Source organism: Homo sapiens, chromosome 20 (genome assembly GCF_000001405.40).
Source record: "Homo sapiens chromosome 20, GRCh38.p14 Primary Assembly".
NCBI lineage: Eukaryota > Metazoa > Chordata > Mammalia > Primates > Hominidae > Homo > Homo sapiens.
In genome coordinates, this window is record NC_000020.11 from 52,791,643 (window position 1) to 52,816,933 (window position 25,291).

Genomic DNA, 25,291 nt, shown 5'->3' on the forward strand with positions numbered 1-25,291 from the left:
CAACAATAGTCAAATCTCTAATTGATTTTATATGAAGTATAATCATATGTCAACGAATCTAACTTTAACCTACTCTTACTTAGTTCTATATAATTAAAAAGTGGGATGTGTTTGCTGTTATGCTGGCACTTATAAAGTTTTCAGTTCATCTGTTTCACATACTGGTTTTCCCTTGGAAGGTTATGTTTAAAAAGCTCTCTGTAAATTGTCATCTCAATGTTGTTGAGTGAATAAAATAGCCTAGCTCTAGCTAGAAGGAATGTGAAAGAAAATATAGACTCAGCAAGAAAATTTTTTAAAACTTGTGGTCTATAGGTCATACTCAGTCTTACGATCCTTTCATGTGTAAATTTAAATTTTGTAAAGAATTTTTAATTTAAAAATTAGAAATCAAAATATTTTAAAAAGAAATCAACTTACTATACTTCATTGATTGCATAAAAATACTTTTTCTGTCTATATTTTAACTTCTCAGAAATAAAGATGCATCTTAAGCAATGATATCTTAGACTTGATGAGATACAGTGGTGACTAGCATTAAAACATCATGAGATTTCATGTAGAAACTGATATTTCCAGTTTCAAAAAGCTGGATGGTCTCTCAGCCTTGGACCTGGCACTCATACAGCCCCTGTGGTGGAAGGGCCTAGCTCTGAGCTCTTGAAAGAGGATGATGGCTCTCAGAGACACCTCATCCTTACCCATGTCTTCTCTGCTTTTTGGAATTTGAGGAACCTCATCTACCAGCCTCCAACTTGGGCTCTGGACCTGTAAGAAGCCCTTATAGGAAGGAATAGAGATGCATGGGCTGATTTTAACATTACAGTCCACTAATGGGCGTTTTACCCAGGGTAAATCAACAAATCAAGTGTTGGTTCGCTTGAGTGTAATAATAGTGGTTCTCTCCTAATCAGAAAGTTCTGATTAGCAGTTGATGAGCAAATAGAAATAGCAATAAAATAAGAGGTGAGGGGCATGAGGTCCATCATGTAGTAAATGGAGTGTGACAGATAGGCATGGATCTCTTGGGAGGAGAGACAAAGGGGAAGGGAAAGGGAGTCCTTGGCAGTGGAAACAGAGGGAAATGTCACTCCAGGGACATTTAGTGACCTGTCCAGAAAAGCAAATGGCTAACTAGGAAGTAGCAGTTCTCTAGACATTCAGTCCAGTATTCTTTGCTTTCAAACTTCATTCTTTGCAGTCAAACTTATTGAAAAAATATGTTCAAACTCTATAGACAAACACTCTCTAACAAAATGACTTTCGGAGAAGAGATTTTCTCTCTTTCATCTGGGTATACACCAGCAAAAGACCTGAATAAAATCAACCCTGCTACATTCTTCGTGTAGAATATTCCTAAAATATGTTTGAAGATATTAGGGGTTTTCCTCCCAGCATTATTATTTCTCATGGAAAATCCTTTCTATATCCTATTTTAGATTATGTGCTATAATATACTTGGTAGATTATAGATAACATCTCTTTTTTTCTGAGATTGCACATTTGAAAATTTGAGATTACAATAAACTCTGTGTGCGACAGTGACCAGAGACATGGAGATAATGTATGTGAATATTCTTTAAGCTCTTTGACTGAAAGACATGTTACAAATATGAGCAATTATTCGATACTATATTTGAAAAAATATAGATCATCCAATCTTGCAAATAAAAGATAATTCCACAGATGATGTTCTCTATGTCACTTTTCTAATCTTAAATACTTGAAGTGAAGAAGCTTCCAGGCCTCCGCTTGTATGACTGTTTCACAATCTAATTGATCTCACTGTCTGAATTGTCCTTTCTTAATTTCTCTGCATTACTCATTTACTGTGCTCACTGTTCAGATATCTGCGAGAGGTAGCAGGCCTCCCCCCAACCTTAGTCAATTAGACAAGCTATTGTTTCTGATTAAGATATCACATCCCGGAGAATAATAGCAATTAGAGTTGGAACGGAGACCCTGTGGGTCGTACAGTCCACTTCCCTGCTGGCTCGGGAGAATGTTTTACATTACACAGTAGTTTTATATGGTTTTCCTGATGTTGGTTTTAAAAAATCCAAGCACCCGTCAGTGTTAATTATATCCCTGTCCTGCATCCCCACCATGACTTAATTTTCTACTTTGCATTGCTGATTCTCATAAATTGGCATTGAATGATGGCTTCTTGATGATATCACCTCATCAAAATACAGGGACAATAGACTTTTTTTTCAATAAGCAGAGAAAGGAAATATTATAAGTTTTGGTTTGGTTTTTGTTGGGAGGTAGAGGTGCAATTTTATATAGGTATATTTTTTGCCAGGGTTCCTGGTTTCAAAATACCCCCAACATATAAGATTTTTTTTTTTGACTACAGTAGTCCCTCCTCATCCAAAGGGGATACATTCCAGAACCCCTAATGGATGCTTGAAACCACAGATCTTATTGAGCTCTATATATTCTGTTTTTCCTTATACATACATACCTATGATAAAGTTTAATTTATAAATTAGGCATGGTAAGAAATTAACAATACTAACTTGTAATAAAATAGAACGATTATAACACTATACTGTAATAAAAGTTATGTGAATGTGATTTCTCCCTCCCTCTCTTTCTAAATTTCTTATTTTACTGTACTCACCCTTTTTCTTCTCTTGATCTGTCGATCTGATAATCAAGACACGTATTAAGTGACTAACGGGCGCGTAGTATCTACAGTGTGGACACACTGGACGTAGGGATCATTCACGTCCCAGGAGGGAGAGAGCAGGACAGAGTGAGATTTCATCACGCTACTCAAAAGAGTGTGCAGTTTCAACATATGAATTGTTTATTTCTATTTAAACCTCAGTTGACTGTAGGTAACCGAAACCACCAAAAACAAAGCCGTAAATAAGTGGGGGGACTACAGTTTTCTTTTTAAAATCAGTCATTTCCATTGCCAATTATCTAGAAAAGTTTATCTATGGGTGTAGAGAATGGTGTCTGTAAGAAAGAAGTTCAAATTTCTAGAGGCTTTCCCTTGAGCCAGTTCCTCCACTGCATGGTCATAGTAGGGGAAAATAATCCTAAGTGTAGTTAATAGAATATTCTTATAAAGAATATGATGATGATAAAATGATTATTATCACTATGTACTTTTGAGCCCTTACAACATGCTTGGGCACTGTGCAAAGTACTTTGTATGCATTATCTTACTTAATGCTCATTGCTATCCTGATGTAAGGACTATTAATACACTGAATTTACAAATGAAGAAAAAGAGGCTGAAGAAGTTATAAAACCTGCCAAGATTACCATACTCATAAATCATGGTGACAAATAATAGTTTTATTTTTACAAATGTTTTATTAATTAAATAAATTAAAAAGTAATTAAATCAACTGTTTTCAATACAAGTAGTAAAATAAAATTGTATTTTATAATTAAAATTTTATAAATATTAAAAAATTTTAAATAATTTGATTATTATTATTTGTCTTTTAAATTATGATATTTCCTTTTTTAACATGGGTTTCTGAAGAATTGGAAACTTTTTTCACCTTACTGGTGGCAATCTGAATGGGAAACAGGGCCATGGTTGCTGTGATTGAATTTGGGAATTTCCAAACCTGTCTCTGCATCATAATGACCTTCACATTATATCAAGCCACAGTTTTTCATTAAGTATTTTATTTCTCGAAATCCTCTTATGTAAATCAACCTCAGAGTGATTTAGCAAATAAACGTGTTTTGAACATTATCATTTTTGTAATTTTGCAAATAATACAAGCACATTATTTGTTTTAAATTAAAGAATATACAAGAGGGAATAAAATGATAGAATGGCCACTTCCCCGCCAGTGCACAGACTCTATTCCAACTCCCTGACATATCTCCTACTGAGAGTTTCTTGTGTCTTACAAGAAAGGTATTACAAATATGTAAGTAAAATAAGTTTTGTGTATTTTTTTAAACACAAATGGGATGACACTATGCCTATTGAGCCAGAAGTTGTTTTTCTAAATATAGATAACAATAATGAATAAATAACATGTTTAATATATGTTACGTATTACTTTAAGTTCTTTATATACTACCTCATTTAATCCTCCTGACAACCCCATGAGATAGATATATCTTTATCCCTGTCTTACATGTAAGAAAACAGAGAGATAGGTTAAATAAATTGCTCAAAGACACAAGTTTTTAAAGGGATGAAGCTGGGATGTAATTATACCTTGAGGATGATTCAATATTAGGGAATAGCAATGAATGTTACTACTTTTAGACTCTGTATAATATTTCACCATTTACCAAATGAGCCTCTTAAAATGGACATTTAGACATTTTTCTTTCCCTATTTTAAATAGTATTGCAATGACTACCTTTAGGTATACACAGCTTTGTGCACATGGGCAAGTATTTTTGGTTCAAATTCTTACAAGAAGAATTGCTTGGTTAAGACCATTGCATTTAAAGTTTGGGAGATAAAGCCAACCCATCCTTGAGGGAAGCTGTTCAGGTTCCCCCCCATTCCAGATGCCCCTTATTACATCATTAAGGCATGCCTGGTTCTCTCCTCGGTGTGTGTCAAGAGGAATTGAGAACTGTGAAACACCCTATGTGTGTTGACACTGCTATGCATGTACTCACTCCCTAACATTAGCAGGGAGTATGTTTTTCTCCTCTACCCCACAGCTTAAGCTGTTACTATTTAGACTTGTGGCACTCAATGGGGATGATTTTGTCTCCCAGGAAGCTTTGGCTATGTCTGGAGACATTTTTGGTTGCCACAGCTGATTGGCAGAGATGGTGCTACTGGCACATAGAGTGTAAAAGCTAAACACCCAATGATGCACATGACATCTCCTCTCCCAACAAAGAATTATCCAGTTCAAAACATCAATAGTGCTGAGGTTCAGAAACCCTGGTTTGGAATCCAACTCAATTATAACCCTCTCTATGATACCTTTAGTAAACTGCTCCCTGCTAACAGGTGATGCTCTGTCCTTTAGGCTGTCAAAGGTTTCATTGGATGTTCTCTTTATTGTGTTGTGCTGTAATTGCTTGATTACACAGCTATCCCCTCTAACAGGTGACCTACTATGTGAAGGTTGACAGTATCTTATTCATACTTGTATTCTCACCACCAGCTCCATTTCATAACATATTGCCTGGTTTATATAGGAGCTTAATAAATATTTGCTGAAGGAAGGGAAGAAAGATGAAACAAAGAGGGAAGAAAGAAAGGAAAAGATAAAGAGAGGGAGGAAAGAAGAGAAAAAATGAAAGACCAAAAGAAGAAAAGACAAAAGGAAGGAAGAAAAAAAATAATGAAACAGATGCATGAATAAATAAGTTAGGTTCCAGGTGAGGACATCCTGAGGAAATACCTTTGGATTGGTCTTGTGAAACTTAGAATACTTCACTCATTTATTTTAAAAAGTATTTAGTGAGCACCAACAATGTTCTAGGCATTTTAATAGGTTGTGAGTATGGTGAATCAAACAGCCATTGTTCCTGTCTTCATGGAGTTTGTTACCTCTTGAGTAAGACAGACAATATAAAAAGCAAACAAGGGTTGAGTGTGGTGGCTTATGCCTGTAATCAAAACACTTTCGGAAGCCAAGGAGGGAGGGCCGCTTGAGCTCAGGAGTTCAAGACCAGCCTGGGCAACCTAGTGAGACCCAATCTCTTAAAAAACACACACACATAAAAGCAAACAAGCCATAAGGTAAAGTGAAGGAAGGGTCAGTCAGGACCTCCTCTATGAAGAGTGGGAAGGAGGTGCATTTGAGCTTAAAAGAGATTAGAGATTTATGGAATGGTAGTCCTTAAAGTATAAAGAAGTCAATCTGGAAAGTCTAACTGGAAGAATCCAGGTATGGAGACAATACAATATCTGGAAGGTAGAAAAAAAAATTTTAAATGGCAGGTACAGGTGCAGAAGCTGGACTGGTAGCTGTGCTGACTGATTACAGCTAACTCACAGAAGTTTTACAAAGTGTATATTTGACTTTCAATATAGGGAGAGAAAGACCATTAAGAACACCAAACCAGGGATGCGTGGACGCCCTCTTGGAAGCCCCTCACCCTTGACTCTGGTGTCACCTTTGACACAGACATACAATCATCATGAACTTCAGGCCCTCGTTATCTCCTGTAACACCTTCCCTGCTGCTCTCCCTGTTTCTGTTCCATTGGTTCTCATCTATGGCCACATTATCAATCACTTGGGAAGGTTTTAATAAAATCAGTGCCCAGGCCTTGCCACAGGCCAATTGAATCAAAATCTCTGAAGAGGGGCTTTGAGTATTATGTTTTTCAAAAGCCCCCTAGATTATTGTGATGTTTGGATGGATTGAGACCCTCTACCATGTTGCTTCATGGGTAAAACTCTCAAAACTCTGAAAATTTCTTGCCCATCTTAGAATTGTCCATCCTCAATGCCTACAGGATTGAATCCATTCTCCGTGGCTTAGATTTGCCCTAATTTTCCAGCTTCATGTTTTTGGATAGCCTTATGCTCCTGCTACTTGGATCTTTCCTTTTGTTGATTAGGCAGTGCTCTTTCACTCCTCTTTTTCTGAACATTGGCTGTTCCTTCCACCTACAATTCACTTCCCACCACCTTCACTTGGTCCTCTCTTACTTACGTGCCATGACTCAACTCAAATATGTTCTTTCCACACACCCATACACAAAGCTAGTTACTCCTTTCCCTAGTTCTCATGGCAACTGTACTGTAACAGGTTCAAATGTTTACAGTCTCAGACTCTGCACTGCAGAAATGCAGATTCATTTTCTTATGACTAAAATAAAATGTTTACCCAAGATCACTTATTTCCACTAATGGCTGAAAATTCTTAATCTCATCACCTTAGTCACTTCCAGATTACAGCTCAGTAATATACAAAGTTCTCTATCCATGCTCCTTCAGGACAGTTCTGCAGGTGGCTTTGCTTTGACCCAGTTCTCTCATTTTTCTTGCTTGTAGTTCTCAAGAATAACTATAGAATGTACAGGGAATGCAATATCTTGAGACAGAGAGAAACTTCCTGAAGTAGAGCTTGTTCTTGTCCCTCCTAGGGAATGTAAGATCTTGAGTTAGAGAGGAACTGCCTGGGACAGCCTGGGTTTTGTTTCTCCTTCCTTTCGAAGCAGAATGTTCTTCAAAGCTTTTCCCAGTGAGTCTCTTGGCCCCTGAGGCATATAACCCAGGGCAAGCTGTCTTTTGGGGTCTCTCACCTGCAGTGCAAATGTGGCATGGGTAGTCAAGACTCCATTCTCCCAGGCCAGCCTTGTTGAGCCTTAGGGGACTGGTTCACAATTGATCCTATGCTCCTTTTGTCCCTTGCTGCCTATCTGTGAATAACAATCCTGTTTCATGTAACTTGTTTCATGTGTGTGTGCCCTGTCTCATCAGACCCAGGCATTGGTAACACTGCAGCCCAGGATGCTATAGGCAGAAGGGTTTGGATCCTGATTCCTGGTGGATGGTATAGTGATGATATCTCTGCTGTCCTCCATGCGGTGGAGGTCCTCCTTTGGGACTGGTTATTAGTGAACCTGCTTCACACACCCCTCACTTCCTTGGTTCTATAATTTGCAGAGCATTGAGGTATAATGGGAAAGCCATCCAGGCATTAGGAGAGAAATCTCCAGGGCTCATGCCATCTTCGTGCTCCACTGGCCTCCACTGCAGCTAAGTTACTCCATCTGGTGTTTGGGAATCATATTCCAGAATTTCCTAGTCACATCTGGTATCACTGAATTTGTTGTCTGTTCTCTGCAGCTGAGCCTATATCCACTGTTCCTTGGGAGCTCAGGAACTGTTGGCTGGTTTCCTCACACCACCTTGACACAATCAGGACTCAATGAGGACTCTGTATCTAGAGATGTCCCTCAGCCCCTGCTAATGGACTGTATGGGGGCCACGTTTCTCTGGTGCTGTTTTGATGCAGCACTGTGCTTAGGGAGAACAGGCCTTTCTATGAGACTTTCAGGCCGAATGGGCTACACAGGAAGAAGTGAGTTACAACTCTCCTTGGCCTAGGACTTTCCTAGACCTATCTGGTCATTTATTTCATTCCCAACATCTTCCACCAAAGGTTGCGCCCATGAAGAGAGAAAGGGAAAGAAGAACTTCCTCTTGGACACCCACAAAAGGCTTTAGTCTGTTTCAAAACTCTTCTTTCACCTGTTCTCATATTTTTAATTTTATTTTCAGGTGAGAATGAGTCTACCACATCTTCACATATGTGCTCCTATTTTTTGGTTTATTTATGATCCATGGTGTACCCCAGTCCTCCAAGCTCTAGCATTAATACTTGAAATTGAGACAACCAACCAACCAAACACAAAAACTCTTTTTTTTTCTCTCTCAACAAAGCTTGGCTCTTGAAAATCAAAGGCACTTTGGCTTTCAGGGTATTAATTGTTCTACATGTTCAATAAATTGTAAAAATTTTTTGTCCTACTCTGTATCTAACTTCCCCTCATGGGGGTTATAGAAATGTGGTAAAAAGCATTGGAAACCTATAGATTTCAATATCTACAGTTTTCTCCCACTGCAAGATCTGTAATTTAACCTTGATTCCACTGCATTGTCATCCTTTGTTTACCCTTCACACCTTACCTGGGAGCTCCTCTGGGAGCATTTCTTTCATCATCTCAGGAGCAACCCTCTTGGTGACACAACTTAAACACTCAATTTATCAATAAACAAATATTTGTTGAGCACCACTGTGTGTAAGACACCGGACTAGGCATTGAGGGTGGGCACTGATCAATATAGTCGTAATTTCGATGGAGCTTGCAAGCTAACCAGGAAGGTGAGTATTCAATAAATCATAATAAAATTAATGTATTAAATGTAATTGTGATCATTGTTCTTTATCATATATTCCTCCTTCTGGTTGTGAAGACATATCATGGGGGTTCCTATTTATTTTCTGAGGAAGGGACACTTGAGCAGAGATGAGAAGTAAGTAAAAGTTAAGTAGGTAAGCGATAGTCAAATGGAGTTGAAATGGGGAGCATTTAATTAGGGAACACGGCAGAAGATTCTGAGGAAGGAAGAAATTTAGCTTATTCAAATCACTAGAGAAGATCCATTGGGCTGGGGGACAAAGAAAGAGAGAGGGTGATCTGCATGATGAATTGATGAATAGACAGGGACCAGACCAGGCATTTTCATGTTTGTTGAATGAATGAATAAATAAATGAGCTTGGAGCAACCTGAAACTTTGACTTCTGCTCTAGATTAAAAACTACCATTGCCTGGAGTCTGTAGTTATGTGACATTGACTCATGCAATTGTGCATGGTGTAATCATAAAACAAACCAGAGACAAGGCTTAAGGCAACATTGAAGGAAGTGTCCTGAACTTTAAATGCAAATCAAACTAGTAGCACCTCTTCTACAGTGACACCTTTAGAACCAAGCCGTTACAGAAGCATTTCTCCCTCACCCCTTCTACTTGGTGGTTTCCAGTTGAGTGAAGAAATCATTGAGAAGTAAACCGTTCCAACATCGTGTGTCCAAAGTCAAAGGATAGCCAGGCATCTGCTGAAAATGGAATATTGACTCAAGCCCCAGATGGGGAATATTTGAAAAGCACTCTGACCAGTTCTTAGCAGTGGCAGTTGGAACAGAAGGAAAATCAGGGATATGCAGGCATCCTCAACCAATGGAGAACCAGGATCAATGGGAAAGGAATTGACTCAGGGCTAGTAGGTGCCAGGCTGAAAGGCAGAACTCCAGGAGGATCAAGCCAGTAATCACTGCTTTGAGTTAGTAACCTGGAGATGTCAAAGGGATCATGGCGAATGCCCTGAGGGTTTGGTTTGTGGCAACCAGCCAATCAGAACAAGGATTTTACTCTCACTATATTATCCGATAGCTCTAATAAAAGTCAGATGGGAGAGCTAATCAGATCGTTCCCTTGGCCTGGACCCTTTTAAATCAAAGAAGTCTATTTTGGCTCTCCATGTTAAGTAGACCCAGAGACCTGACATTTTGTGTTTATTTGAAATGATAAACTTAATCATGAGCGAAATGTTAAGAGATGACAGAACTGGCCACAGTAAGGTCACATCGTGTCCCTGCCAAACATAATACAGGCTTTTGCCTTCACTGGGTTGCCAATTCCTGCCACAGGAGGCCCGAGGCACTTGCAAATGGGGACCGGAGTCTGTCTATGTGATAATTAATCCATGGCGCTCGGTAAAGACTGCCAAATCTGCCATATGGTAGTTTTATGATCTGGACTGCTGTTATCTCTGGAGAAAGCTAACATCATAATCTCATTTACTTGTTATCTGTGATTAGGACTTGTACTTCTACAGGGTAAAATGCAGGCATGGTGGGGAAGCCCAGGGTTCCAGAGCCCTGAGATGCTACTACCCAACTTTAACGGGAAAAGTGAGAGCACCATTGATATATACAGGAAAAGACACAAAACTCTGATGTGGGCACCTGCATGTGTCCTGACCTCACAGCATTTGGGTCCCATGAAGAAACCTGACATATATTTTATAAGGACTCAACTGTATGTTTAATAGAAATACCCAAGAAACACTCAAGAAAGTCAGAGGGGCTGCCTCCCAAAAGTATTGTGGAATAGAATCACATTGCTTCCTCTTTTGTATTTTTTAGGGATGGGCAAGCCAGGTGTTCTGGATATTTTTTTTCCATGGTGACCTTCAGTTTGGGCGACTGAGTCACCTATACAACTTTCAGTGGTGACTTAGACTTTGATGAACTCTCAAAAGAATTTTGTTGAGAAGTAAAGCTTGAAATTGATTCATGCCAACATAACTACAAATGACATTGTAATAGTTTCTTACTGGAACTCCACCATGGAGAATAAGGGCTGTGGGTTATCCCAATATCTGTGTGCTCTGTGACTGCATCCTTTTCTCTCCTACTCAAGGAAGGTCATTATCAAAGATGAGGCTGATGCAGATCTGAGACCATACACACGGTTTTCTACAAGACTCATAACATCTCTGATGTTATCTAAGTTAATTTCTATTGTAAGTCTTGTGGCATACACTATTGATTGATTTTCTAATACACACTCTTCCTTTTTTTGTGTGTGATAAATATTTCATTTTTTTTTTTTTTTTTTGTGGATCACAATGAGCCAGGCAACATTTCATAGCCACCCTTGAAGTCAGCATTAGCCATGTAACACATTTTGGCCAATGAGATGAAAATGAGTTGGTATATGGGTGTTTAAAGTGGGACATCTAACTGTTCTTTGTTTTTTTCATACTTCCTCTACCTTTTTTTTCTGGTTGGTGCTCTAGCAGCCATGTTGTTAGACTCACAGAGAGATCTTGAAATTGGAAGCCTCGTGTTAAGAATGGAAGAACGGAAAGAAAAAATCCTGAGTTTCTAGTGATGTTGACACTATCATAGCAGCCCCAGAATGCCTATCAACAGGCTTTGCTTACTTGAGGGAGAAATAGTTTTTATCCTATTAAGTAATTGTTGTCTCAATTTTCTATTGTATACTTCTGAACCAAATTCATAGCTGATGCAAATCTCTATGATGTTAAATGACAGAAATAAAATATTTCAGTTCATGGTACTCCCCTCTTTCTCAGGGTTGGCTTTAAGTTCAAGGAGCTTGGATAGGAAGCAGAGGTGGGTGTGAGGTGGAGTCTGGGGTCATGGATTCATGCTGCATTCACTGTCTTGTCCTTTCTTTAATCTGGCCCTAGGCTGTCACCCATGCAGATTTCACCTGCATCCTCCTTGTTCTGATCACAGATGGCTTTTTTCATCTCTATCTGCCATATCTGCTCTTGGTGGCCCAGGAAACTTTCCACTTTCCCCAAGATGTTTTTGTTTGAAGTAAAATCCATAAAAGAGTCTCAGGCCCATCTACCTGGACCCTATTCAAGGATACCCTTTCCTTCCACATATGTTAGGTGTTAAAAACAGAGATTCCCATAAACTTACCACATGGATATGGTCATGACTCTGCCATGAATGTGGTGGCTTAATTCATATTTGGGTAGATATAAGCTTGCATCAATTCTAATTCATTGTTATATTTTAGTTTATTATAAATTCTAGTACCTTACTGTTGGCAATGATTAGCTTGCAACTGACTTCATAACAGACCATGACATGCCAACGAGTATATACACCATGGCTAGAAATTCCTGGAGTAAGATGGTCTTCTGGGAGCCTGCAGATCTTGGAGCTGCCTCATCATCATTTAATGTAGGGAATAGAGAACCCCTGTCCTAATGCACCAAAAGTTATAGGCCATGAGGATCTGCTAGCTTCGTAGTCACCTTGTAAAACTCACAGGGTTAGGACTATTTAAGCTCCAAGAGATCCTCAGGCAGGAAATTTGCTGTCCCTTTTTTAAGCAAATTTGCTTCCATGTGCACTTTAGAGCCATTCTGAGAATGAGAAGCAGCAGCCGGCTGGTCATAGACGTTACATATACACATATATACACATACACCCGCACACATATATCTGTATATCTATATTTACTTGTGTATATTTATATACAAATATAGATATGTGTATAAATAATAAATATAGATATACAGATATATGTGTGCAGGTGTATGTGTATATATATATGTGCATGCACATCTGTATTATTTTTATATATGCATGTATAACTTTATTATTTTTATACATGCATCTATATGTTTATTATTTTTACATTATTATTGCATTATAGGCATGTATACTTTGCTATTTGAATTATCTTCTTACCTGCTATAAAATTTAAAAATATATATATATGTAAATTGAGGTCAAATTCACATACAGTGAAATGCACAGATTTTAAGGGTATAATCCCATGACTTTGATCACTGTATATGCACTCTGTGACCACAACCCCAGTCAAGAGAGAGTACGTTTCTGTTACCCTATCAGTTGCTAGGTGATGTACTAAAGATGTTGTTCAGGGGGCTTGAAAATTCGTGTATCCCTGACAGCCCGAGAAGACTGGATAATGTCCCACTGTGGGTGGGTACTTGGGCTGTGTGTGTCTGGGAAAAGAGATCAGGATATTGCAGCTCACAGGAGTTTCTCACACTGTGGCCTTCCTCCTATCAGTCTTTGACGTGGTCATTCTTATCCAGAAATCATGTCAGGCTGTTTTCCCCAGAAATATTCTGATTATGTGAATTAGATCACGTGGTCTGCGATAAATCCCCCGTCATTGTCCCTTGGTATTTTGAAAACTGATGAAACCGCTGATTCTTGGCTCCTTACTTTGTATGCAAATGATAAATTATAGATGGGAAATAAGAAAGAGAAGACTGTCCCTGGCTTGCTGGTTTGAAGTGAAGTGAGAAAGAACAGTGCTACTCTTGACGATTTATTGTGACATTGCTCAGAAAAATTCAAACCCCAAAGCCTCCACATCTCTGGGGACATTGTTAGCCTTCTGCAGGAATTATTAAAATGTACAGAAATGTAGGAGCCGCACTTTATAATAATTAATCAGGGTCTGTTGATTAATAAAGCTCATTTTTTAGTCCTGATGATTCAGAGTATCATCCAAAGGACAGTGTCCTTGTCATTTTGATTAAGAAACCAGACTTTGCAGTGGAAAGAAGTACAGGAACATTCGTGCTTCCTCCGTCTTCCCATAAAATAAATATTGAATGAGAATATTAACTCGTTAACCTTGACAACAATTTGTAATTTTCATAAGGGGGAAAATCTTGCATATTCAGCAAATAAATCGCTGCAGGGATTTCAGGAAAACAAATTGGAGAGAATGAAGAATGCTACCATATGAATTCTGTCATTTTTATGGGCCAGGGTGATTTATTTGTTTGTTTAGGTCCCTCAATTAAGGCCACAAATACTGTAAGGTGTCGAGAGCAAGTTAACTGTTACGTCTGGTATGAAACAGTCAACTAGAAGTGAGAAAGAAAGGTCGCTTGGGGGAAGTGCATAACTGGGCCCCAACCTTGAGTCTTCATACCTTACCAGAACCACTTTACCTGGGGTTAGCTGCTGAAGCTGTAATTTCACTCTATTAATAGTTTAAAGCTTGTTTTAACAGATAACCCCTTTCACTGGGCAACTGCGAGGGAAAATCATTAGGTGGAATTAGCAGTACCAGTCACAGCTTTTCTGGGGTTATCTAATTATTTTGAACTCAATTTAACCAGGAATAGAGATAAAATAAATAACCCATGAACTATTTACCTTGCTGGTTAGAAGGCTTCTTTTGTCCATTAAAAGAGAGAGAGAGAGAGAAGAGAAATCCAAAGCACATGAGGCCAGAATCAAAGCCCTGTTTTCTTAATTTTGCAGTCATATGGGGGCCTAGGATATATTTCTCTCCTCCTCTGACCTTTTATACTTTTAACCCTGAGACATTTGTTAAGATATATGCCGTTATGCATGCACTAAGTGTATTGTTTGCTCCCAGCTAGCTTGGCTTAAAACTTCCTGCTTAGGGACTGTAGATAATCCAGTTTAGGGACTGTGGACAATCCACAGTTTTGTTTGTAAGGTGTGTTTGCTCACTTTGTTGGCTCCCTGACCATCCCTCTGCAGGGAATTGAAGATTTAACATGGTTATTTAATATTTTACTTGAACACTGACTTTTTGAAGGCGAGGCATGGATTAGTATGTTTGTGGCTGGTGAGGTGAAGAGTTAAGTGAAACAAATGTGTTTCATATTTTGCTCAGAACAAAGTGAACAAGAAGCAGGGAAAACAGTCCTTCAAGTCAGTGGGAAAATCTGAGACTTTGTGCAGCATGTTGCTGTAATGTTCATCCTGGTTTGAACAGTTTTTAGCAGCATGATCTTGATCAATTCCCTTCTGTCTTGCAGCCTGTTTTCTGTTTAAAAAAATAGGGATAATGATAACACCTACATTGTAAGGTTGATGTGAGGATTAAATGAAATATGTATGAAGTGCTTATTACAACACCTGAAACATAGTTAAGTCTTTGGAAAATGTTAGCTATTGGTAAGAACAGTGAGGGTGGTGTGGTGATGTGGATGTGTTTGTGGGTTGAAAATGACAGAAGAGTCAACATACAAGAGAAACTGAACAATTAAATGAAGTTAGTCTCTAGGATCATGGGAAGAGTATCAAGAACGGAGATGGGGAAGCTGGCTTTGGATTACAGGAGGACGAATGAAAGAGAGTAGTGGTGGAAATACATATATGTAAGTTGCAAATGAAGGACATGGAAGATGAAGGAGTCCATGCATTAGATTCTTCTTTCCAATTACATGGTATTTGGGTGAACAAGGTCAATGCTGAAAGAATAGACACTGAGGAGTATGTGAAAATAAGAAATGAACATGCTAAGGAATGAAAAAGGGAGCTGACCTGAATCACTGGACAATAGACTAGAGGAGAAACTTTGGATCTCACTAACAAACCAGTGAACGAATGTGTGTTATTGACCTCGCCACCAGGGAATGCTTTATATGAAGAGTTGTGGAAGAAAATCCTTGGGCAACCTGGTTCCATGATGTCATCAAATGCTTGGTCATGGACAAAAGATAAGAAACAAAAAGATTGAATGCCGATTGCATTTCTTACCTGCAAAAGAGCACCATCTCGTTGTGGTATGCACAGTAGGTACTCAGCAAACATTTGTTGGGTGTTGACTCTTCACTGGCTTCAGGTGCCTCAGGGTTAGGGTTGGATATGGTTTTATTAACTGTCTTCATTGATGTTCAAAGGCAAAGAAAATGAGCAACAAAATTCAATAAGTAGTAGTGGTTCAAAGTATAAAATAAATACCTGTGAGTCACGAATGATATAAGTACATGATTGAATAAACACATACATATGGGAGAGTAGACAAATATTCCATGAAGAAGAACTCAAAATAATTTATGTAGACACACCACCCTCCAGAAAGTGGAGCAAATTTTCCCACCCCTTAAGTATGGAGTGTTCATAGTAACTTCCTTCCAGAGTACAGTAGAAAAGATGAGAAAAAAGAGTGACCCTATAGTGGAAACACCTGACAAGGACTACCTCAGCCAGGTGATGAGGGTAAATACTAACAGTGATAGGTTATATTGACAGTGTCTGCCCTGGATGTGATGTGTTGAAAATGGCACTCTTTACCTCTTCAGTCTTCTCCCCCAAAATTCATAATGTCAGTCTGATAAAGAGAAAAACATTAGCCAAATCCCAATTGAGGAACATTCTACAAAATACCTGACAAAATACTCCTCAAAACAGTCAAGGTTATAAAAAATAAGGGAAATCTGAGAAACCATCCCATCCAAGAGGAAGCTAAGGAGACACAATGACTAAAGATAATATGGTAACTTGGGTGGGATCCTGGGACAGGAAGAGGATGTTAGGGAAAGACCAAGGGAAGCTGAATAAAGTATAGACTTTAGTTGATAATGGTGTTTTAATACTGGTTCATTAACTGTGAAAACGCACCCTACTAATGTAAAATGTTAATAACTATGGAAACTGAGTATGAGGTGTATTGAGAGTCTCTGTACTGACTTTGCAATTTTTCTGTAAATCTAAAACTATCCTAAAGTGAACATTTCATTTTAAAAAAGCAAACAATCATAAATTTTCACAGAGGGTGATGAATGAGGAGTGAGGCTAAGGATTAAAATAAGCCGTCTCTGTTCAGCATATGGGAAGAAAAGTCCAGCTCCAAAGGGAGCTCAGAAATGTCAGCGTGTCACTGCAGCAAATGGCAACACTCTTTCTGTTGCTAAAACAAAGGTATACTTCGGGAAGATTCTAAAATACAACAGAGAGATGTACCTACCTAAAAACATTCTGGGCTGTCATCCAGAGACTCTCAATACCCCTCTTCCTCCTCCTCTTTCTCTTAAGTCAATTTACTTAAATTCCCTTTGGAAATGGCACTTACCTTCCATGGTTTATGGAATGTTGTGATGATTTCGTGAGACCATTCATGCAAATCCTTTAAAACAGCATCTCACTCACAATTACATTATAAATGATAGTTTTCACAGTTCCCACTTTCTCCTTAACAATATAGTTCTAATAATGTTGAAAACAATAGATCTAACATTGTTGAAGCATCCCTTAATTGTAAAAATATTTAGATAATTGTCAATTTTTTGATCAATATGTAAAGCTTTGTTTAATATCTTTGTACAAATGGATTAGCTTCTCTGATAAATTCCTTTGGATAAACTATCAGATGTGAGATTATTATAAAGTCAAAGGATATGAATGATTTTAAGCTTCTTGAAGCATATCGTGAAACTGCTTTCAGATAAAGAATAAACCACTTTATACTCTCACAGGTCATATAAGATGATGTCTTTCAGTAGTGCATATATGCTCTGGTCATTTTTTTTTTCTATATACCATAAGCCTCTACCTATGTATAAGGAATCCCTTTAGATTCAAGGTCGAGGCTGCCTCCCCGAGTAGCTGCTGAAGCTGCCTATGCTCACTTCTCCCTGCAGCCTTGAAGCTGAACTGTCATCCGGGATCTTCCAATTACAGGGGCCCAGGCCAGCCCAGAATTGGAATGGGAGTCGTAATGAGGAAGCAGGGACCTGCAGAGCCATCTCCTTGGCAGCTGTGGGGTTCTGAGCTCCAGATCAAGTTCCTGGAGGAGCACTGGCCAGAGGGCTCAGGCAGCAGCCAAGGTCCGCACCAAGGGGTATCAGCAAGCCATGCAGTGGCACCTAGTGCTGGATCAATTTTGCATGTCACCTGAGGCCATGTGCATGGCTGCTAGTCCTGGACTTAATTCTCCAGCTTTTCCAGGAATGCTGTGAGTGACCCAATAACATTATAATAAATTACCTTTCTTGCTGAAATCAGCCCAAATATGTCACTGCTGCTTGCAGTGAAGACCCCTAATGTTTATGTACATCATTTTATCATCCCTTAATGACACAGAGTATTAAAATAGTTTTTACCTCAGTCCAAATGTTAGGTGAAAATCTAATAGCTTTTTGTTTTAATAATCACTATTGAACTTAAGAATCTTTTCAGATGTTTGCTCATCAACTGGATTTTACATTCTACTTTTCTTTCCTATAGCATATGCTCCACTTTTTCCATAGTGAAGGAATCTAAAGAATCATCATTCTCAGCAAACTATCGCAAGGACAAAAAACCAAACACCGCATGTTCTCACTCATATGGACACAGGAAGGGGAACATCACACACTGGGGACTGTTGTGGGGTGAGGGAAGGAGGGAGGGATAGCATTAGGAGATACACCTAATGTAAATGACGAGTTAATGGGTGCAGCACACCAACATGGTACATGTATACATATGTAACAAACCTGCATGTTGTGCATATGTACCCTATAACTTAAAGTATAATAAAAAAAATTAAAAAAAAGAAAGAAAGAAAGAAAAATAAAGTCTCAACAGAGGAAGAACATACAAAATCGGAGATCATGGCTCTTTGGCAGGGAGTGTCATTTTATTTTCTTTCTTTCACTTTTCTGCATTTTCTTTTGTTTTCTTCATAGTGTCATAGTAATATTTTATGTAAACTGACTATGTGCTAATGGATTTCCCAAAGGCTTTCCATGTATTATTTTATTTAATCCTTCAAAAATCATAGGAGACAGATAGTATTGCTATCCCCTTTTCACGGATGAGAAAACAGCCACAGAGAGGTTTTACTCAAGTAAAACTTTTACTCATGTAAAGTTACCCATCTAGCAAGAGGTGGAGCCAGGAATGAAACCCAAACAGCCTACTCAAAGAGATGGACATTTTTCCCTTTTCATTTAGGCTATACATGATTTCTATGTTGATTAAAAATCACCAACTATTATAAAACTCTAAGAAGAATGGCTATATAAATGAATCATTGAAATTACTAACAAATCTGTACCAGGACCTGTCTGTTATGGTGGCTGCGGGCATATCTCTCAATTTCCACAATTTGGTTGAAATTCAAGGTTTTCTGGAGATCATTGGAATCTGCAACTTTTTATATGTATCCTCACTATAGCTTATTAAAATGAGGCAGTAGGGAAAACGTTGGGGAAAGCAGTCATTCATTTACGGTGGATTTCATTGACTAATGCCAGAGACCGTTTGTGTTCCACTTTTGTTTCTCAAAGTGCTAATAGCAAGATTCTGTCCCTGAAATCCTATTACTGGTGGCAATGGAATATAATCAGGCAGTACCTGCAGGATAAGTCAAAAGATTAAATTAAGTTGGGATTTGAATCCCCACTAAACATAGAATCAAACAAAGATTAGATTTCTGGACCCCAGTCTCAGAATGGCTTTCAAGGGCTTCTCTTAAACAACAACAAAAATATATCATTATTCACTTTGACCACTGGCATGTTAAAAGGAAATGCAGACAAAGAGAGATGAGGGAGGGAAGGAACTGCAACACTATGGAATCAGTTCTTTATTCCCTAAGTACTTTCCGACTTTGCAGAGCTTGTTCATTTCCTGACTGAGCCTGGAGAAGTCCTATGTTGAATTCACACAAGACACCCATGGACCCTGGAATCCCATCAATCTCGTCCTCATCCACTACTCTGCTCCTGACATTTTGGCATCTGAAATTGAATTAGCACAAGGTTTGTTTTGGCTTGAAAAGCCTGTGAGAAGGAATTTGGGAAAATCTGCAATTGAGCTAAGTATTGGCAATAAATATGTGAAAACTCAGAAAGTGGTGTTGGGAAGGATTTTTTTCACACTTAGCTTTTTCTTTTTTCATTTCCTGTTTTTATTGGTGATCTTGCTTTTCCTAAATATACTACATCATGACCTTTTAAAAGCTGATTGATGATACACAATCAAGTATTAACTGCGATTCCTTTTTTTGTTTGTTTGTTTTGTTTTTTGAGACAAGGCTGCCCACGCTGGTAACTAAAAAAAAATTTTTTTGTAGAGACGAGGTCTCTTAACACTGATTCACAAAGTTGGAAATACTTGTTCAAGTTCTTCCCTTTCTCCTACAATGACTTCCATCAAAACCCATGTGCTTCTTGAATGTATCTTTACTCCAAACTGGCTTTTACAGTTCCTCTAGAGATGTCACTTTTCTTATAGCCTGTTTTATAAAGAAACAGGCTTCATCACTTTATCAAATTAGGGAACAAGAAAGTCACGCTAAAGTGAAGACACCAGTTGGTGCCTTCAAAAACATACACATTCCTGCACATCAAAAATCTTCAAAGCCACATTTGAATCTGACAACACCAAGAGCCTATCTATTGTAAAATATATAAATCAATAATATCAATTATATGATTGTAAGGATAACTAAAATTTATTGATCACAATACAAGTTAGGCACATGTACTACCTTCTTATTACATGTATTACCTTATTTGATCCTAATCAAATAAGTGGGCTGTGTGATAGTGTCTAGCAAGAGTGTGTTCAGTGGGAAGGGGCAGGGAGCAGACACCAATGAGTTGGGAACTCCTCTTTCTGTTGTTCATACTTTACTTATCCACCATTTAGACAGACTACATTTAACTGTTAGGTATAAAAATGCAAAGCAGTACAGTCATGGGTAGAAAAGGGATTTTTTTTTTTAATATTGGAGATTTAAGGAAGATTGGAAGTAAAATATACAAAATCTGCTCTTGAGCATCCTGTATTGATGTAAATTTACTATGTTGGGACTCTACATTTGGCTGTACATCAAACAAACCAAAGCACAAAAATATACTTATTTCACAAAAACGGCCAGGGCCAGTCTGGCAGAGCTTGGCCCCACAGCTCGGTGACATTGTCAGGATGTGTTTCTCTCCATCTCTCAGTGCTGCTTCCCTCTGGGTTGACTTTGCACTGAAGCAGGCCACTCTCTTATTGGCTGTCCTCCACACCATGACTCACGGCCTATCTGCTACAACTCCTGGTGACACAAGAGCACATCTTCCTCCACATTTCTACCTAGGGCCTCAAGTGTGTCTCATTGGCCTGGCTTGGGTCACACGATCATCTCTAAACTAACCAACACAGCCAAAGAGATTTCTCTGACTGGCCTGGCCTGGGTTATGTGCCCAAGCTTGAAGTCCAGGGTGGAGCCAACCACTTGGACTAACACTGGAGAAGGAAAGGCCCCCTAGAGGAGAGCTGGGGTGCTGTTACCAAAAGGGTAAAATGGAGGACTGGGCAGACACAATCCACAGATATCACCTCTATTCACTGAGGTAGTATCTGTGATGAAAGAAGAGTGATGATGCTGAAGAAGATTCTGACAATGATTCCCCTGGCAAAGAAGAAGGCATACAAAGATGTATGACACGAAGGGATGAGACAACTTGGACAAGATTCCTCACGTAGAAATGGGGTAACCAACCATCCCCGTGTGTCTGGGACTTTTATTGTCATAGGCACACTAGGATGAGTTGGTTGACCTATCTGGACAGTACTCGTAGACTCTGCGTGGTGATCTCTTGTCTCCTTTCTCTGACCCTCATGCCCCAGTCATTCACCAGGCTTTTCCTGAGCACAGAGCACTGAACTAGGCTGGACCCTGGGAATTCATAGACAAAAGACTGAGTCACTTTGGCCAAAGAGGGAGAAACAATTAGACAATAACAAGACTGTAGAAGACTGTTAATGCAATAGCTACACCGTATTATGCAGTCGTATTGAAAAGTGAGCTACCAATGATGGGGGTTGTTTGTGAGGTTAGGCGTGAGAACATTCCCAGAGAAGGTAACCTCTGATGTCAGCATTGAAGGAGAAATCAGATCAAGCTCAAGATTCCTGATTCCAAGTAAATGGTGTTTCCGTTAAGCTGAACTATAAAATGTGGGTTACTTAAACAGAAATGCAGAAAGGCACTTGGTACTCCCTAGCAATGGCCTCCTTTTGACTGACGACTTAAAATATGAAATAAGAATGAAGATGCACAGAGACATGGATGCAAATTAATAGAAATGTGTGTGTTCATCTGAATTTTAAAAGACTGGTTGATGTCTGACTGTGTCTTATCTTCCCCAAGAAAGAGAGCAAACGTTTTTGCAAATTTTGGTCCTATCTGTCTCTGCTGTTGAGACTTCCACCAAACCCCACTCACAGAGCACACATAGTGCTGTAGCACCTACACCACAAGGGCTCAGAAGCTCCCCTGCTACCAAGAAGCCCCACCATGGTCTTAGCTCCTATTTGGGAGCAGATGAAGGTTTTCTCTCATGACAAACCCCAAATATCAGTTTTGCCCAGAAACAAACACATAAACATGCATACACACGCACACACACACACACACACACACACACACACAGCGTATCATTCTAAATACCCTTCTATTTCAAAGAGATTGTACATAAAAGAGGATTTGAGTCAGGGAAAAACCAAAGCATTTTGTTTCATAAATAGAATTGGTGTGGGAGTTGATTGTTTTCTCTCCTGAGGGATAAACATTTTAATTTAATAACAGTCAGAAAGTGCCTAAATGTTCTTGAGGAAAAAATATGGTGTTTCTAGAAGGGCAGAATCTATTCACTTGCAGAATAATTGGAATGAAGCATTTCATAGCAGTGTTACTCAAAAATACCAAGCCAAAATTTCTACATGTCAGATTTTCTTAATAAAAATAGCAATAGTTATTGGGCAATTTGTGTCATAAGATATGTGTCATATCTTATGTGGCAGATGCTTTATATGTGTTATCTCACTTATTCCTCTTGTCAAGCCTATGAAGTGGGGGTCATTATAATCCCCATTCTAATGGTGGATAAACTGAGGCTAATAGAAGTTAGTTAACTTGCAAGTAAGGAACGGAGTAGGAATTCAAATTCAGGTCTGTCTAACTTCAGTCTGTATTAATCACCACTTACATAGCAAGTGTGTCTGCAACACCTTCCAATAGAGCTGTCTGAGGTAGGATACAGATTTGCAAGAGAAGAGAGGACTGAAAAAAACCAAAGTAGAAAAATGAGTTTACACCGTATTTATTAAGAGAATGCCATCACAGCTGAGGCAACAGACAGTGAGGTGGCCAGGCCAACAAAATAAAATTGTATGTGTGAAAAAGGAAAACCACACAAACGGAATCTTCACATAAATAGAATTTGGTCATATTTGTGGTTGATTGCTTGTTTGTTGCTAGACCTTTGTGAAGAGTCTGGTTGTTTTTCTATGCATCCATATGAAGTAATAAAAGCTCAGAAGGGCACAGAAAGTTTTAAGTGATTTGAGTCTTAGATATAAAAATGAACTTAGGTATAAAATTGAGTTGTCGATGAACTCTGCTTCATCTAGAGCAAATCTGTTTTTCCTTCATCTTCTTGGCCTCAAGCCATAGCCATAGATACCCCATTCCAGCTGGTTTTCATAAACCATTAAGATTCAGTAAACAAATAAAGACCTATCCTATATTAATAATAAGAATATCTAATATTTATGGAATGTTTACTCTATGCCAGGCCCTCGTCTAAAGACTTTGTATCTATTAAAGTCTTCACAACAACTCCATGAGGAAGGTACTCATATTATCTCTATTTCTTAGAAGAAACTGAGGCACATAAAGGTGAAGTCACTTACCCAAGTTTTCACGGCTAGCAAGTGTCAGAGCTGGGATTCAAGCCCTAGTGGCCTGGCTCCAGAGTCAAAACAGGCAGTAGGTTAAATTTATTGACCCTTGGTCTAGACTGCATTGTTATACTATATATCACGGCTGGGATATTTTGTTTCTTCTGCTTAAGACACTTCCCTTTGCTTTGTTAGGTTGATGATAACATTGATGACAATAACCCTTGCTATGTTTACAGGGTATTTCTATGTGCCAGGTGTAGTGTTTATGTCTCACCATCATTATCTATGTCTTCACCACAACTACATGAGGTTGGTATTATTATCCCCTTTGTACAAGCAAGGGAGCTGAGGTCAGCGAGGGAAAGAAACTTCACCATATAGCAAATGTATGAGAGCAGTGCTGAGGCTCACAAGCAGAAGTGTCTGACTCCAAAGAACCTCATCTTACCTACCAAGCACAGTTTTGTAAAATGTGATTTATAAACCACCTGCATCAGGATCCTAGGCAAGGGATTGTGAATTTGCATTTTAACAAGTTTCCTAGGTGATTCTTAACGTGCATTAAGAATGTGATGAACGCAGCATTAACACAAGGTGGCCAACCACTTCTGGGATGCTCTCTGGACCCTCTAGGCCAAGTCAGAATTTTGTCTGGGTCTCTCCAACTCCTGTGACTATTCATTTCTTACTACCATTTACCCTGTATTGCAATTATCTGAACAATTGTCTGTCTCTTCCATTAGTCAATCATCCTCAAAGGTTGCAAACAGTGTCTCAAGTTTACTGTTCTACAGCAACAATCCATCATGTAGTTGGAGCTCTATGTATATTTACTAAATAAGTGAATAAATTAATTAATAGAAACACTGACTGCAGGGGTTTTTAAATGATTTTCATAACTAGATTTTTGATGTCTACTGCACGATTTGTATTGTTTTTCCCTGAATTTCCTGGTTTTTATTTCTTTTGCTACTAATCCCTTGGTTTAATTTGAAGTATGCATCCACTCCCTCCGTAAACAAAGGGTTCATTTTTATTTTGTTTTGCCTTTTGTTGAATATAACTGAAGAGAGCTAGGGAATATGGCTGTCCAATAGAAAGAATATTCTAAAAAGAAAGCTTTGTTTATATGTAAATTTATCAATGATCGTTTATTGGTACTTGCAATGATGGTGCTGAGGGATTATCAGAGTTCCTCCTTTTAAGGAGTTTTTAATATAGTTGAGAAATTAAGACCCAAAACTCTATAAAATGAAAAAGAATATATGTAATTCTGTGCTAAATTTTATTATACTGAAACATCCTTTTGTGTCCTAAGCAGCTTAGGCTTCTATAGAAAATTAAAATAGACTGGGCGGCTTAAACAACACGCATTTATTTCTCACAGTTTTAGAGGCTGGGGAGTCCAAGATCAAGGCACTAGGAGATCTGGTGTCCAGTGAGGGCACTGTTCCTGATTTGTAGATGGCCATCTTCCCATTGTATCCCCACATAGTGGTGAGCCGAGTGAGAACAAGCCCTTGTGTCTTTTATAAGGACACTAATCTAATTTATGGGGTTCTACCTTCATAACCTAGCTACCTTCCAAAGTCCCACTCCTAATACCATCACAATAAAGGTTAAGAGTTCAACCAATAAATTTGGGTGGGTGAAGGAGAAAACGCCCAATCCATAACAATTTGTTTAACAAATAAATATTTATTAAGCATTTATATTTTCTAGTTACTGTTCCAAGTGTCACAGATAGAGTAGTGAGCAACACAGGGTCCATGGAACTTAGATTTTAGGTTGGAAAGCCATAAACCAGAAAGACAATATATGAACAAGTCAATTGCCAATAGTGGCA